We start from the raw sequence: 15,555 nt of genomic DNA, 5'->3' as shown, positions 1-15,555 counted from the left end.
AGTGATAGACAATTGTGAGGCAAGATTCGTTTATTTTAGCTAGATCGTGTTCCTCCATGCTCCTCAATCAGAAGAACTTTGCTTCTTACACCTCCTGTGAGAAAATCGATTGTCCCCTAGAGGACATGAACATTACCCAGGGTAGGGTTAAAGAGACCTGAGCAGGCAGAGGGATCAGCAAACACATCCAAGTCCTAAAACAGCTAGGGTCAGGATAAGAGTTGCCAGATAAAATATAAGATGCCCAACTATAATAAATCTTAATTGCAGTCAAGCAGTGAATAATTTTTAGTATAAATATGTCCCCAAAATGTAACCAGGTGTCCTGTATTTTTATTTGCTAAATCTAGCCACACTGATAAAGACAAATTGTGTATAAAAGGGCCAAACTTGGAAGCCCAAATTTACTCATGAAGTTTCAGGCTAAGGGGTGCTGAACAGTAAATCAGAGACCAAGAGAAAGGCTAAAGAAGTTGAATAGACCTGGAACAGAGCAGAAAGAGTGAGTAAGGGTACCGCTGTGCACATTGTACACTGCACAACTCAAGACTACCACATGTAAAAGTAGTGGCTCTGGAGGTCTAAGACAATTATACCAACAGTGATGGAATGCTCAAGTCTTTTTCACATTGACAGAGACCACAAAGTATAATATAGAGTAAAAGCAAGATTAAAACCCACTGCCTCCCCTCTCTCCTCACCCCTGCACCCCACAATCCACTGTAACTGGGGTTTTCAGTTGATCTGCTTTGTCTAAAAGCGTAAAAGAACCAGAAAGGTTAGGTTGGGGGCAATTATTTTATGAAATATCTTTTTAAAGCAAAAGGAAATGTAGGAGTCTATAATTCCATTCTTTCTCAATTTTGAAAAACAAAGAGAAACAATAGGAACTTGATAACAATGAGTGGTGACATCTCACATTTCTATGTTTTTTATAGGAAACCTGTATTACTTTTGTAAAGAGAGAAACATAAAATGTTACCTAGCACTTCATCTGCATGAAGCCCACAAAGGAAACAGGCTGCTAGATGAATATGTAGACTTCTAGGACTTGTGGGGGAGACAGCAAAGCAACTTTCCAGAAGTGAAAAGGCCAGAGGGGCTGTGTCCTATGTGGAAGAGATGGTTTGAGGGCTCATAGGCCTGTGTCTTCATGTCTTTTAACTTCCACTGAGTCTAGGCCCAGCTAAAGGGCAAGGAAAAGAGAAGGTTTTCTTACTCTAACCATGGGGAGTAATCCAAGTAGACTTGCCTGGTGACAAGAGAGGAAAATTTCTCTGCTAAAAGAAACCAGAATAAGCAATTTATTTTTAAAAATTTGTGTTCCTAAGTATCAAATTTAACCACAAGTTCTGCAGCCCGAAGGAGCTAGCAGCTGTTAGCAATCTAGCCTCTAATCAGATCAGCTGTGATCTGATTGGTGGCATCACAGATGAAAAAGATATGATTTTCTTCAAACACTGACACATCTAAGGTTTCTTTTTAAATTTGTATGAATTTAAGGAGTACAAATGCAGTTTTGTTACATGGATATATCGTGTAGTGGTGATTTCTTGATCATTGATGATTTCAGAAAAGAAACTTTTTTTTTTGCTTGGTGTTTATTTAAATTCTTGCTTTTTAAATATGATTAACCCATCTTACATGAATTCTTACTAACCTCATTTTTGTCATCTGTTCTCTTGGGGCTACCTATCACTCCCTTACTTCTAAACAAAGTTAATGTTTTTATTTATATGATTATCTGACTCATGTCTGATCTGACACAGAACTATATTCACCATGACATCAGTGATCATATTCTGCTCCCTTTGGAATTCCCCAAAACCTAGCACAGAAAAAGTATTAGAAAAATATGTGCTGAATAAATGAAGAATGAATGAATGCTTTTATTTTTGCCAAGAGGTAGTGTAGTCTTGGAACAGGAATCAAAATCCTTCCATTGTAATCATGATTCTGACAGTGGCTAGCTAGTTACGATACCTGTGGCAAATGCATCTGAATCTGTTTTTTCACGAGTAAAGGGATAAAATAAAAGCTACCTGACAGTACTGAGTAAAAAAATGCCATATGTTGACATTGGAGACTTTCTAATGAATCTCTGTGTACGAGGTCGCATTCACTGCCCCGACTTTGGGTCAGAACTCATAAATCCCCTCCCTGTGCATGCTGTGTGTTATGTGTCTTTCCATCACAAGTGTCTACGTTCATTAAAGAGGAATAAAATACTGCATTATTTGCATTAAGCAGATGGTACAGAACCACTACTCAGAACAGTGAGAGAAGGAGCAGGAAACAAGGAGTCAGGGAAGCTAGTATTCCAACCTTAGGGCTTGAGCCCCAGCCGAAAACTCCATCTGCAAACAGCCACTGAGCCACTGAAGCAGACAAAGCTGGAAGGCTATGAGCACCATTTCCATCTCCCCTTCTCCAGCCTCAACAGCGTGAGTAGATATTGGACTGCACAGCAGCAGCTCAGGCTTTCTGAGTCTACCAGGGGTGCCCATCTTGGGGGAGATTTTGAACACTTCAAGCAAGGATTATTTGCAAAGAATATAAAAACAGAAAGAATGCAAGGAATGGTAACATAAATATCTCAAGCCAAGAGAAGTTTGTTCATTTTAAGAAAAGAACTCAAATAATACAAGGTCAGGGAACAACATGTAGCCAGGCTGTAGCTGAAAGTTATATAATCTTTATCTTGAAAGTTAGAACAAGCTTTGTCCAGGAGGGCAGGGCCATATGATAAAGTCAGTGGTGCCTGGGCCCATGGCCCATACCTTCAGTAGGAATCCATATAGGGAATATGTAAAAGGGATTCCAGACAGAGAGGTATGGGTAGCCAGGCAGCCCAGCCAGACTTTGTTGTCAGAAGATCTGGCTTCTAGGCATAGCTCTGCCACTTAGCTGTGTAACCTTAGGCTCACATCTTCACCAATTCTCATTTTCCTTAATGTGTAATGGGGATGATAATGGGACCCACTTGGGAGACTTACGAGGAAGATTAAATCATATATATAGTGCTCATCATAATCCTAGTTCATAGTAAGCTCTTAATAATTACAGATTATTACAATTACTGTAACTGTAAAACCCATGCAAATTTATGAATATCAAGATTGTTCACCTGGGCTTGGAGGCCCATGCCTGCAATCCTAGCACTTTGGCAGGAGGATTGCTTGAGCCCAGGATTTCAAGACCAGCCTAGGGAACTTGGCAAGACCCCATCTCTACAAAACATTTTTAAAAATTAGCCAGGTGTGGTGGCTGTAGTCCCAGCTACTCAAGAGGCTGAGGTGGGAGGATCAATTAAGCCCAGGTGATTTGAGTCTGCCGTGAGCTGTATTTACACCACTGCACTCCAGCCTGGGTGCCAGAGCAAGACCGTGTCTCAAAAGAGGCCGAGCATGGTGGCTCACGCCTGTAATCCCAGCACTTTGGGAGGCCGAGGTGGGCAGATCACGAGGTCAGGAGATCGAGACCATCCTGGCTAACATGGTGAAATCCCGTCTCTACTAAAAGTACAAAAAAAATTAGCTGGGCATGGTGGCAGGCTCCTGTAGTCCCAGCTACTTGGGAGGCTGAGGAAGGAAAATGGCGTGAACCCGGGAGGCAAAGCTTGCAGTAAACCGAGATCACGCCACTGCACTCCAGCCTGGGTGACAGAGCGACACTCTGTCTCAAAAATAAATAAATAAAAACAAAAGAAAGTTTTTTTAAAAACAAAAATAAGAAATATTAATTTATTTCTGTCCCTCAGTATTTGCATTTTAACAATGGGTTTTTCAAAAAAGCAAAATCATCCATGTAAGAACTACTCGTTACTCTGAGATTATGTTCTTCCTGAGTTTTGGTGGTTGAAATATTCTTTCTTTAATGAAATGCTACTGGGTACTTAATGCTATCACTAGACAAAATAAAAAGCAATCAACTCTAAGTCAGTTGCCACAAATAGAAAATTTTACCAGTCTGTGGAATACAAATGTCTTGGAGCCACTGGAGTCATGGCAAGGTGGAAAAGAAATGTTGGGTCACATTTCATCTTGTATCATCCTCCAAATACCATTACAATTTGGAACATTCTCTTAGCCTTGAATTAGGAGTTGGGAAGAAAAAGGAATGAGAGGATATCAATTCCTCAACGTGTCTTTCCTTTGCATTAGAGGTCTATTTTCAAACAAGTTTTACATTAAGTTATTGTCTCTCAGCTACCCTTCTCTATACACTTATGCAATTCAGGCCTGGGACTCAAAACATCATTTTTAGCTTTGCCAGCTGCTCCAGTTAGGCTCTGTCACTAGAGGGTGTTACAGAGGGAGACAGCCAGGCTGGAGGAGAGAGAAAGGACAGGTTCCTTTCAGTTTGTTCCCTATAGGCTTGTCAGCTTGTGGTTTCTGTAAGATCACTCCAGGAGTGCTTCTTCACCCATGCCGTTCCATAGCAGCAGCTGATTCCAATTTGCAGTTTTTGCAACTTTCGCAAAAACAGCTTCATCATGCCCCCACCTCATAGACACAAGTGAGCTATAAATAGTGCCCTGTCCTCAAAGGTTTCAGTGGCAGGCCCACAGGGCTGCTTATCCCAGCTCACAGCCAGCACAAGTTGTGGGGCCCTTTCTCAAAGTTTCTAACTTCTAATAAATCCAAGCACTTCCCTCTGCTATCCCCAGCCCCAGGAGTGGTAGCTGCTTCCTGCAGTTGCTATCTCCATGTTACTTTCATTGTTGTTTTTTTGTTTGTTTGTTTGTTAATTTAATCCTTTCAGTTACCTAGTTACCAACCATTCCTTAAAGTCTCTATGTTCAAGTAACTGGTGTAGCTTCTGTTTCCTGCTTGCACTCTGATAGAGTATATATAAATCTATTTTCAAGAAAGCTTTAATTTTTTCAAATTTGTATACTAAAGGGTTTATTTTAAGGCTTAAACAATAATTGTAGGGAAGTCTTCTAGACTACTCCAAAATAACCAATTAAAAAAATACAGCAACTTCCAGGGAACACTCAATTTATTTTGAAAATAACATTTTCAAAGTTATTCTTTGGGTGTTGAAAAGCAAATAAGTCCTATCCAACCCAAAAGAAACCTACTAGTTATTTTCCTCCAGGAAGAGAGAGAGAGAGAGAAGTTAATTTTTATTTGTATAAATTTAGGGAGTACAAGTACAATTTTGTTACATGGATATATTGAGTGGTGGTAAAGCCTGAATTTTTAGTGTATTCACTGCTAGAATAATATACATTTTACTCACTAAGTAATTTCTTACCCTATGCTTTCTTCCCACGTTCGGAATCTCCAATGTCTATCATTCCACACTGTATGTCCATGTGTACACGTTATTTATCTATTACTTAAAATTTTCTTTCTGCTTATCAGGAAGTATATTTTAAGCTGAAACATATAGGCACCAGCCTGATAAAATTTGGAGGGATGTTCATGTACACTAAAGTGTGTTTAGTCCAGAGAATTTTCTCTGCCCCAGAATTTACACACTTCATTCTCTGCTATGTTCTTATCATCACAAAGCATTTCTCTATTATTCAGTAGGCAGAAAAGTTCACACCAATGATGATCAAAGGCAGGAAATGGAGGCATAAAGGGCTAGGGCTAAAAACCAACTTTTATGAAGTACTTGCTCTGTTCCAGGTGCTATCTCATGTATCTTTTCTAGCAACCCAACATTGTAGGGATTGATATTCCCATCTCACAGATGAGCACAGTGGGACTTACAGGGATTAAATAACTTGTTCTGGGGTGTGGAATAAGCGTCAGAGCAGAGCCAGGATTCAAAACCAGCCCTGATACCTTCAAATTTTCTTATCTTTTTGATTTTTTATTTATTTTATTTTTTTTTAGAAAACACTACCTTGCATCCATAGGACCCATGAGCATAAAGGAAGGACATATGACTGCTTGCCTGTCAATTCTGGGAATGAAGTGAAATGCTGTGAACAGTTACATATTTGCTGCCTGTATTAGTCAGGGTTCTCTAGAGGGACAGAACTAATGGAATATATATATATATATATATATATAAAGGGGAGTTTATTAAGTATTAACTCATGCAGTCACAAGGTCCAACAATAGGCCATCTGTAGGCTGAGGAGAAAGGAGAGCCAGTCCCAGTTCCAAATCTGAAGAACTTGGAGTCTGATGTTTGAGGGCAGGAAGCATCCAGCATGGGAGAAAGATATAGCCTTGGGGGAGCTAGGTCAGTTTCTCTTTCCATATTTTTCTGCCTGCTTATATTCTAGCCACGCTGGCAGCTGATTAGATGGTGCCCACCCAGATTAAGGGTGGGTCTGCCTTTCCCAGCCCACCGACACAAACGTTAATCTCCTTTGGCAAAACCCTCACAGACACACTCAGGATCAATACTTTGTATCCTTCAATCCATTCAAGTTGACACTCAGTATTAACTACAACAGGCCCACACCTTGTCAACTTGAACCCTTACACATCTCCTGAGATCATACATAATCTTCAAATAAAGACAATAATAAAGTCATAATTATGCCTAACATAATACAACTATCCTTCATACAACCAGAAACACCCCAATCCCCAAACCAAATACTATTACATAAAGTTAATACTTAAATGCTGATGTGAAGTCAATAAATCTATGTCACATGATGAAGGAGAAAGGAAATAAAATGAATTTTTTTTTAGTACAAATGTATACTTGCACAAACATGTTTTTAACAAAAGAAGGAGGAAATACTCATGACAATTACAGTCCTCGTTTCTGCAGCTGGTCACGTGGTCATAGCTGATATTGATGACTACCTTCTTCTACTACCCATTCTGTATTCCCTTTGCCTTCAGCAAGCACCTCAACAGGTTGTGTTTTTTTTTACCTGGTGGAGTGACTCAAACCTTCATTCCTGAAGGGTCTGGATCATTTGTAGTCCTGCCTGGGTTAGGCTGTTGTAATTTCCCATGCTGTGTGGAATACCATGACAGTGGATAAGGCATTCCGTGAGTTCACAGATGATAGTCTTGGCAGAAGCATTGCATGCAGAATAGGCAAACCCATATCTAGAGTAAGTGTCTATTCCAGTGATGACAAACCTCTGCCCTTTCCATGATGGAAGACCTTAATCACAGGGAATGGTAATACTAAGAGATGCCCTAATGATCTCCTGTATTTCATGCATACTCTTCCTTACCTCCATTGTGAAGTAGGAGACTGATTTCATCTTGATAGCCTGGGTCAATCATCCCAGCCAACACTATAACTCCCTTCTTAGCCTGTTGACTTAAAGGTAGGAGGAGTCCAAAGTGTCCAGGTGGCAATCTTAACTTCCAGTTTAATGGAATCATTGTTTTGTCTCCTGGTGGCAGAGTTTCTCCCTCTGGAACTAAGACCTCTAGGCCAGCAGAACGTAATGTTGTGGGAACAGAAAGCTAAAATGTTGCTAGTGACTCACTAAGGGTGATCGTGAGTGGTGTCACACTTCCACACCTTGATTCCTGGACCCGTGAATCCTGGCTATGGGAGAAACAGTACCATATATTGGGCATTGATTCAGAGGATACACAGCCTTTTGGAGAACTTTGCCCTAGCCCTGCAAAGTATTGTCACCTAGTTGGCCTTGTAATTGTGACTTCAAAAGGCTTTCCCACCATTCTATCAATCCAGCTGCTTCAGGATGATGGGGAACATGGTAGGATTAGTGACTTCCATGAGCATGAGACCACTGCTGCACTTCTTTAGCCAAAAAGTGAGTGCCTTGGTCAGAGGCAATGCTATGTGGAATACCATGATGGTGGATAAGGCATTCCATGAGTCCACGGATGGTAGTCTCAGCAGAAGCATTGCATGCAAGATAGGAAATCCTATATCCAGAGTAAGTGTCTATGTCAGTGAGGACAAACCTTTGTCCTTTCCATGATGTAAGAGGTCCAATATAATCAACCTGCCACCAGGTAGCTGGCTGATCACCCCAAGGAATGGTGCCATATCGAGGGCTCGGTGTTGGTCTCTGCTGCTGGCAAATTGGGCACTCAATAGTGGCCATAGCCAGGGCAGCCTTAGGGAGTGGAATGTTGCTGAGCCCATGCATAATCTCCTTCCCTGCCACCACGGCCACTTTTTTCATGGGCCCATTGGGCGATGGTGGAGTGGCTGGGGAAAGAGGCTGAGTGGTGTCCACAGAATGGGTCATCTTATCCTCTTGATTATTAAAATCCTCCTTTGCTGAGGTCACCTGTTGGTAAGCACTCAGATGGGATACAAATATCTTCACAGTTTTTGACCACTCAAAGAGGTCCATCCACATACCTCTTCCCCAGATGTCTTCGTCACCAATTTTCCAATCATGCTGCTTCCAAGTCCCTGACCATCCAGCCAAACCATTGGCTATGGTCCATGAATCAGTATATAATCACATACCTGGCCATTTCTTCTTCCATGCAAAGTGCAAAACCAGGTGCACTGCTGGAAATTCTGCCCACTGGGAAGATTTCCCTTCACTGCTGTCCTTCAGAGATGTCCTAGAAAGGGGCTGTAATGCTGCAGCTGTCCACTTTTGGGTGGTGCCTGCATATTGTGCAGAACCATGTGTGAACCAGGCCCTAGTCTTCTCTTCCTCTGTCAACTGATCATAGGCAACTCCCCCTGAGGCTATTGGCACAGGCTCAGGGAGAGAAGGTAGGGTGGCAGGAAAGGAGACCGTGGGCATTTGAGTCACTTCCTCATGTAACTTATTTGTGCCTTTAGGACATGCTCAAGCCTGATCATGTATTTACCACTTTCATTTGATGATGGAATGCTGCTGTGCATGACCCACTTTATGACTAGATGAGTCAGAAAGCACCCAGTTCATGAGGCAGTTTAGGATGCATGGTAACTTGATGACCCATAGTCTAACGTTCGGTTTCCACCAAAGCCCAGTAATAGGCCAAGAGCTGTCTCTCAAAAGGAGAGTAGTTATCTGCAGAAGATGGCAGGGCCTTGCTCCAAAATCCTAGAGGCCTCCACTGTGACTCACCTATGGGAGCCTGCCAAAGGCTCCAAACAACATCCCTATCTGCGAGTGACACCTCAAGTACCATCTGATCTGCTGGGTCATATGGCCCAAGTGGCAGAGCAGCTTGCACAGCAGACAGGACCTGTTGCAGAGCCTTCTCCTGGACCCCACTCAAAACTGGCAGCCTTTCAGGTCACTTGACAAATGGCCTGGAGTAACACACCCAAAGGAGGAATGTGTTGCCTCCAAAATCCAATGAGACCCACTAGGCTTTGTACCTCTTTCTTGGTTGTAGGAGGGGCCAAATGCAGCAACTTATCCTTCACCTTAGAAGGAATATCTCAACAGGCTCCACACCACTGGACCCCTAGAAATTTTGCCGAGGTAGAAGGTCCCTGAAAGTCAGATTTATTTCCCATCCTCTGGCACGCAAATGTCTCACCAATGATTCCAGTGTGTTTGCTACTTCTTACTCACTGGATCTAGTCAGCATGTCATCAATGTAATGGACCAGTGTGATATCTTGTGGAAGCAAAAAGCGATCAAGATGTCTCCAGGTAAGATTATGACACAAAGCCAGAGAGTTGATACACCCCTGAGGTAGGACAGTAAAGGTATATTGCTGACCTTGCCAGTGGAAGGCAAACTGGCCTTATGAACAGGAATGGAGAAAAAGGCATTTGCCACATCAATGGCTGCATACCAGGTACCAGGAGATGTGTTAATTTGCTTAAGCAATGAAACCACATCTGGTACAACAGCTGCAATTGGAGTCACCACTTGGTTAAGCTTAAGATAATCCACTGTCATTCTCCAAGATCTATCTGTCTTCTGTACAGGCCAAATGGGAGAGTTGACCAGGGATGTGGTGGGAATCACCACCTCTGCATCTTTCAAGTCCGTGATGGTGGCACTAATCTCCACAATCCCTCCAGGGATGTGATATTGTTTTTGATTTACTATTTTTCTAGGTAGAGGCAGGTCTAATGGCTTCCATTTGACCTTTTGCCCTATAATAGCTCTCACCCTACTAGTCAGGGAGCCAATGTGGGGGTTCTGCCAGCTGCTAAGTATGTCTATGCCAATTATGCATTCTGGCACTAGGGAAATGACCACAGGATGAGTCCAGGAGCCCACTGGACCCACTACAAGTCAGACCTGAGCTAAAACTTCATTAATTACCTGACCTCTATTAGCCCCTACTTTAACTGGAGGATCACAATGACGTTTTGGGTCCCCTGGAATCAACGTCAGCTCAGAGCCAGTGTCCAGTAGTCCATGAAATATCTGATTATTTCCCTTTCCCCAGTGCACAGTTACCCTGGAAAAAGGCCAGAGGTCTCCTTGGGGAAGGATGGGAGAAAGATTTACTGCATAAATTGTCAGTAATGTAGTGGGGTCCTTCCTCAAGGGGACATGGCCTCCCCTTCATTCAAGGGGTTATGGGTCTATAAACTGACTTAAGTCTGGAAATTGATTGAGGGGCCATGATTCTCTGTTTTTATAATTCAAATTCAAATAAGTCTTTTGTCCATTTGACCTCGAAGTTTTCTGCTTATATAAATTAAGTATGAATGCAGTAGGCTTCCTATCAATTTCACTTCCAGGAACACCGTGATTTATTAGCCAACGCCAGAGCTCTACACCAGTCAGACTATTCTGATTGCCCCTTTGTTTCTGCTGTCCATTATGGTAGCTACACCCAACTTGCCTTTGACGGTTGGGTGCTGCCACTTGGCCCCTGCCACCTTGGGATCCAATTATTCCCATTGTATTTAAATTTTGTAGTTGAGCGACTATGGTTCCCACTGTTAGATCTGACATACAGAGAAGAGCAATTACAGGGTTCTTTAAAGATGTAGGTGCTGCCCTCACAAATCTATTTCACAAGGCATTTGTCAGGGGTATATCTTCTGGACCCTCCCAGCTGGGATGAGTAGGTCTAAAGTGACTAATCCACTCTACCATCCCAATCTCCCTAAGCCTTTGGATCCCTTCCTCTACATTAAACCCAGGGAGATCAGGCTTTTCCAGCTTATTCACAGTGGGCCATCTTTTTATCCATATTTCAGCTAACCAAGCAAAGAAATTATTAGAACCTTTTTTAACTCCCTGAGCTGCAACATTAAATGCAGAGTCCCTACTTAGTGGGCCCAAATCAATAAATTCATCCTGATCCAACACTATGTTCTTTCCACCATTATTTCACACCCTTAATATCCATTCCTATGCCTGTTCTCCAGATTTCTGTTTATGTAAATTAGAAAACTCAAGCAGTTCTTTTTGAGTGTAGGGCACCTCCTCATGGGTCACAATCTCAACCTCACCTTTAGGGGCCCCCCAGGACTTTAGTCTAGTTATAGGTCTAGAAGCAAAACAGGGGCGTTAGTAGTGACTACTGAGGAGAATCAACATTATCTTGCCAGGCAACTGCCCATCAGGGGAGGCCATCACTGTTGCCTCAGGCAAGGCAGGGTTTATCTCCTCAGACAAAGGTGTAAAGGCTTATGGCAGCATAGGATGGGGAGGGGATGTTGCCACTACTGGGGATGGGGAAGCTGTTTCTTCTGGCAAAAAAGGTTCATCAGAGTTTACTAACTCAGTGTCCCCAGCTTCATCAGAGTCCTCCCAACATCCCCATTCCAAGTTGCAGGCTCCCATTCTTTTCCAATCAATGCCCTCATTTTAACAATAGACACATGGTGAGGCTGTGCATGCACCTTTCATTGCAGGTCAGCCACTTGCATGATAAGAGCTTGTCTCTGTTTTTCCACAATTTCAACTCTTTCTCTACAGGAGATAAGACTCTCACTCAGGGCAATCTTAGCAGATTTGAGTCTCAGTATCAGCTTCTGAAGCCAGAAGACAGAATCCCTGAGTTCATAATTTTCTTTCATCACTTTGTCCACTGAACTTGGGAGCAACCAACCAGCTTCATTATGTTCCTTGGTTCTCCACATATGGTCAAAGGTATTACTTATAGAGTCACTAAACTCCTTGCCTCTCATGAGTAATGAATCAGAAGTGCCAAATGCATTTATTTTGCATAACTCTCTACAGTTCACATCAAGGACTATCAGTGTTCTCTATACTATTAGAAGTAGAGTCCTTAGCATTTTGGGGTCTAATCATATTAAGCAGCCAACTCCAGAAAACCCCAAAACCATGAAAGAACTCCATTCCTAATATTCAATATTTTCCTGCCTGCTTATATTCTAGCCACGCTGGAAGCTGATTAGATTGTGCCCACCCAAATTAAAGGTGGGTCTGCCTTTCCCAGCCCACTGACTCAAATGTTAATCTCCTTTGGCAACACCCTCACAGACACACCCAGGATCAATACTTTGTAGTCTTCAATCCAATCAAGTTGACACTCAGTATTAACCCATCACTCTGCCTACATGAGTGAAAGTCCAATTGTTCTATTTATCACATTAGTTTCCTTTCTCCTCTTTTCCGCTCACAGCCTGCAATCAGGACATCAGGCTCCAGACCATAAAGTCCCTCTGAATACCTAAGAGCAATCAAATACCTGTATAGTGAGAGTGATCCATCTTTTTGTAGTTTTTTAGTACTTCTGTAATGCTGCTTAGCATATGAAGAAGGCCTCTGTAAGGGAAGCTGTGCTGAGAAAAAAATAAAGAAATATAGATTTGGACATAGATATTGACATAGATAAACATTTCTCTGACAAATTTTGGAGAGGAAGAGAAAAGTGCAAGGCTGATAAAAAGTGTCAGTGCTGAAAACCTTGTAAGCAGGAATGAAAAAGAGTTGTAAATAACAGAGCCTAAATGAGTAAGTCTTTGTCAGTTTCCCATCCCACAGCTGCTTAAGGGAAACTAGTCTTTCCTAATAAGAGAAGAAATACAATTTCTCCATCCATGGATTATTCCACATCCTGAGTTTGCCTGGGTCAAGGACTCTCAATAAACATGATCTTATGACTAACTTTACACTGATACAGAATGACAGTACAGGAAAGGAAGGCCAGTGCTATGGTGCAAGCAATAATTTCTTATCACAGTTTTCGGAAAAGATTATTTGTTGCCAATTTAATTTCCCTTAAGCAGAATCTCTGCATCAGGGGACCAGTCTGAGACAGGACTTTTGAAATAAGCAAAGTTTACCCTCAGCACTCCTTCCTGCCATTTCTCTGCTCCTTTCCCTTTTTCAGGTGGCCATGGCTCTGAGACCACCTCCTGGCTGAGAAGTTGCCACACTCTAACATTGCCTCCTGTGCCACACTCCATCTTCTGTTTCATTTTCTCCCACCTCAACTGCCTCATGCTATTGACACATACTCATTCAGAGCATAATGCATACAAGTCACCAAGAAAATCCCAAGGATATAGGAAAACAAGGGCTCATGTTCAAGTTATGAAAACTTACAATGCTCTGTGCTCCTTTTTGCCATTGCTCTGACAGGTGAATAAACAATATGATCTGCTAATCTATGTTATGATATGAATGACACCATACTCTACATGCTGAGGAATATCTCTGAAACCACCAATGCAAAATTATGTCAGTAAGAGAAATCTGACATAGTTGACATCATCTTGCTTCTAACCTCCAAGCTGTCCTTGGTCATACCTGGACGTAGGCTAAGCTAACTCTGGGAGGAGTTTAATTTATAGTTGAACCTTAAAGCAAGAATAATAATAGCCCTTCCCAAAACTAAACCCCCTTTGTAAAACTAACAAAAGGCCAAGGTTAGGATTATGAGAGTAACACAAAATTTTCTTCTTGGTCACTTTGCAAGCCAGGAACCTCTGGCTGGTGATGCACCACCTGGGCCTCACTCAGCCCCACTACCTGCTGCTGGAGATGGCCTTTACCTGCTGCAGGAGATGGCCTGCCTACTCAGCCCACCCAGGCCAAGTCTGGCTTATACACTGGTTCCCAAGTTATTGTCCTGCACCCAAGAAGAATGAGGATGCACTGACATTCAAGGAGTGAGCAAGACAGGGAGTTTTATTGAGTGATGAAACAGCTTTCAGCAGAGAGAGGATGTGGGGGTGGTAAGCCCCCTCAATATGGCTGCATCTGAGGCTCAGAATGGGGAAGGGGCAGGCCTAGGTAGTATTGGAAAAGGCAACATTGATTGGTTAAAAGGCATTATTCAGAAAGAATCAATCAGGAAAGTGCAGGCAAACAGGAGCAGAAGTTCTCCCTCTGGGTTGCGGGTTTCATCCAGGACCAGCAGTCTGGGTTTTCAGCCTTCAGGCTGTTTTTGGCTTGGAGGTGGGGTTTCACTGGGGACCCACCCCTATCTGCCTAGGCATTTGGCTGCCTCCTGCTGCCATCCAGAGGGTCCTGAATTCTGCTAAGATGTAAGCATAGTTAAACGATTACCAGCCGTTGTTCCAGAGGTCACAAGATTTGTAACTTCCCTGGTTACTCATGTGAATAACATCACTATTGTAGAAACTAAGATTGGCCTTTTGAGGTTTTGTTTCATACTTTTGTATTTCTGATAACTGGCTGACTGGCTGCCTCCAAGTGGGGGCCACAGACTGGTTGAAATATGGGTCATGGATCCAGGTCAGAACACACAACCCATGATTCAACCAGTCTGTGGCCCCTGCTCAGAGGCTGACTCAGTTCAGGAGGACTCTTTTCCACACCCAAATGATTGCATCCCCAACCAGTCAACATTGGTTGATTGCCCCATTCTCTACCTCCTGCCCCCAAGCAATCCTTGAAAAACCCCAACCTTCAAGGCTTCGAGGAGACAGATTTGAGTAATAGCTCCATCTTCCATGTGGCTGGCTTTGCATTAATCAAATTCTTTCTTTACTGCAATACCATGGTCTCAGTGAGCTGGTTTTGTCTGTGATGCAGGCAGGAAGAACTCATCAGGTGATTACATCTGCATTTTAAGAGAATCTTCAGAGATAGAAAATTTATCCCAAGAGGATGATTCCGCTAATGGTGGAAGTTTTGGTAGGCAACAGGCAGTGAGGGAGATGTGCTGGGACCAGAGGTATACTTCAAACTATACTCTGAAGATAATTATTTACATCAAGTCAGACTGTCAAGTGGTCTCCACAAAACATAGAAATTTTGGCAGGGCATGGTGGCTCATGCCTGTAATCCCAGCACTTTCGGAGGCCGAGGTGGGCAGATCATGAGGTCAAGAGATTGAGACCATCCTGGCCAACATGGTGAAACCCCATCTCTACTAAAATACAAAAATTATCTGGGCGTGGTGGCATACGCCTGTAGTCCCAGCTATTTGGGAGGCTGAGGCAGGGGAATCACTTGAACCTGGGATGCAGAGGTTGTAGTGAACTGAGATCGCACCACTGCACTCCAGCCTGGTGACAGAGCAAGCCTCTGTCTCAAAAAAACAAACAAACAGACAAAAAACATGGAAATTTTCTGATAAAAATGCATTGGCTAGATCAATAGAAAGAAAAATAGGTAAACAGAGGAAAAGATAGCTAATTGATAAATGGACAGATGACCTGAAAGTTTACTGATGATTACTTACATGATATCTTATTACCTATTTAATATAAAAAAAGTTGTTAACAGGCACTGGAGAACTGGCAAGACAAACAGACAACACTAAAGGC

At 42.6% G+C, this 15,555-nt stretch overlaps 3 annotated features.

Annotated features, from left to right (window-relative positions):
• Nucleotides 4,014–4,514: an enhancer, noted in NCBI's record as "H3K27ac hESC enhancer chr9:6107011-6107511 (GRCh37/hg19 assembly coordinates)". NCBI's record gives its function as "activates a minimal SCP1, AML or CMV promoter by ChIP-STARR-seq in naive H9 embryonic stem cells {active_cell/tissue: H9 hESC(naive)}" and the evidence as "EXISTENCE:reporter gene assay evidence [ECO:0000049][PMID:30033119]".
• Nucleotides 4,515–5,015: an enhancer, noted in NCBI's record as "H3K27ac hESC enhancer chr9:6106510-6107010 (GRCh37/hg19 assembly coordinates)". NCBI's record gives its function as "activates a minimal SCP1, AML or CMV promoter by ChIP-STARR-seq in naive and primed H9 embryonic stem cells {active_cell/tissue: H9 hESC(naive and primed)}" and the evidence as "EXISTENCE:reporter gene assay evidence [ECO:0000049][PMID:30033119]".
• Nucleotides 4,717–4,766: an enhancer, noted in NCBI's record as "active region_28184". NCBI's record gives its function as "activates an Ori minimal core promoter by ATAC-STARR-seq in GM12878 lymphoblastoid cells {active_cell/tissue: GM12878}" and the evidence as "EXISTENCE:reporter gene assay evidence [ECO:0000049][PMID:35858748]".

The sequence above is a fragment of the Homo sapiens genome, chromosome 9 (genome assembly GCF_000001405.40).
Source record: "Homo sapiens chromosome 9, GRCh38.p14 Primary Assembly".
Classification (NCBI taxonomy): domain Eukaryota; kingdom Metazoa; phylum Chordata; class Mammalia; order Primates; family Hominidae; genus Homo; species Homo sapiens.
Note: the sequence above shows the minus strand (reverse complement) of the source record. Positions and strands in the feature narration are given on the sequence as shown.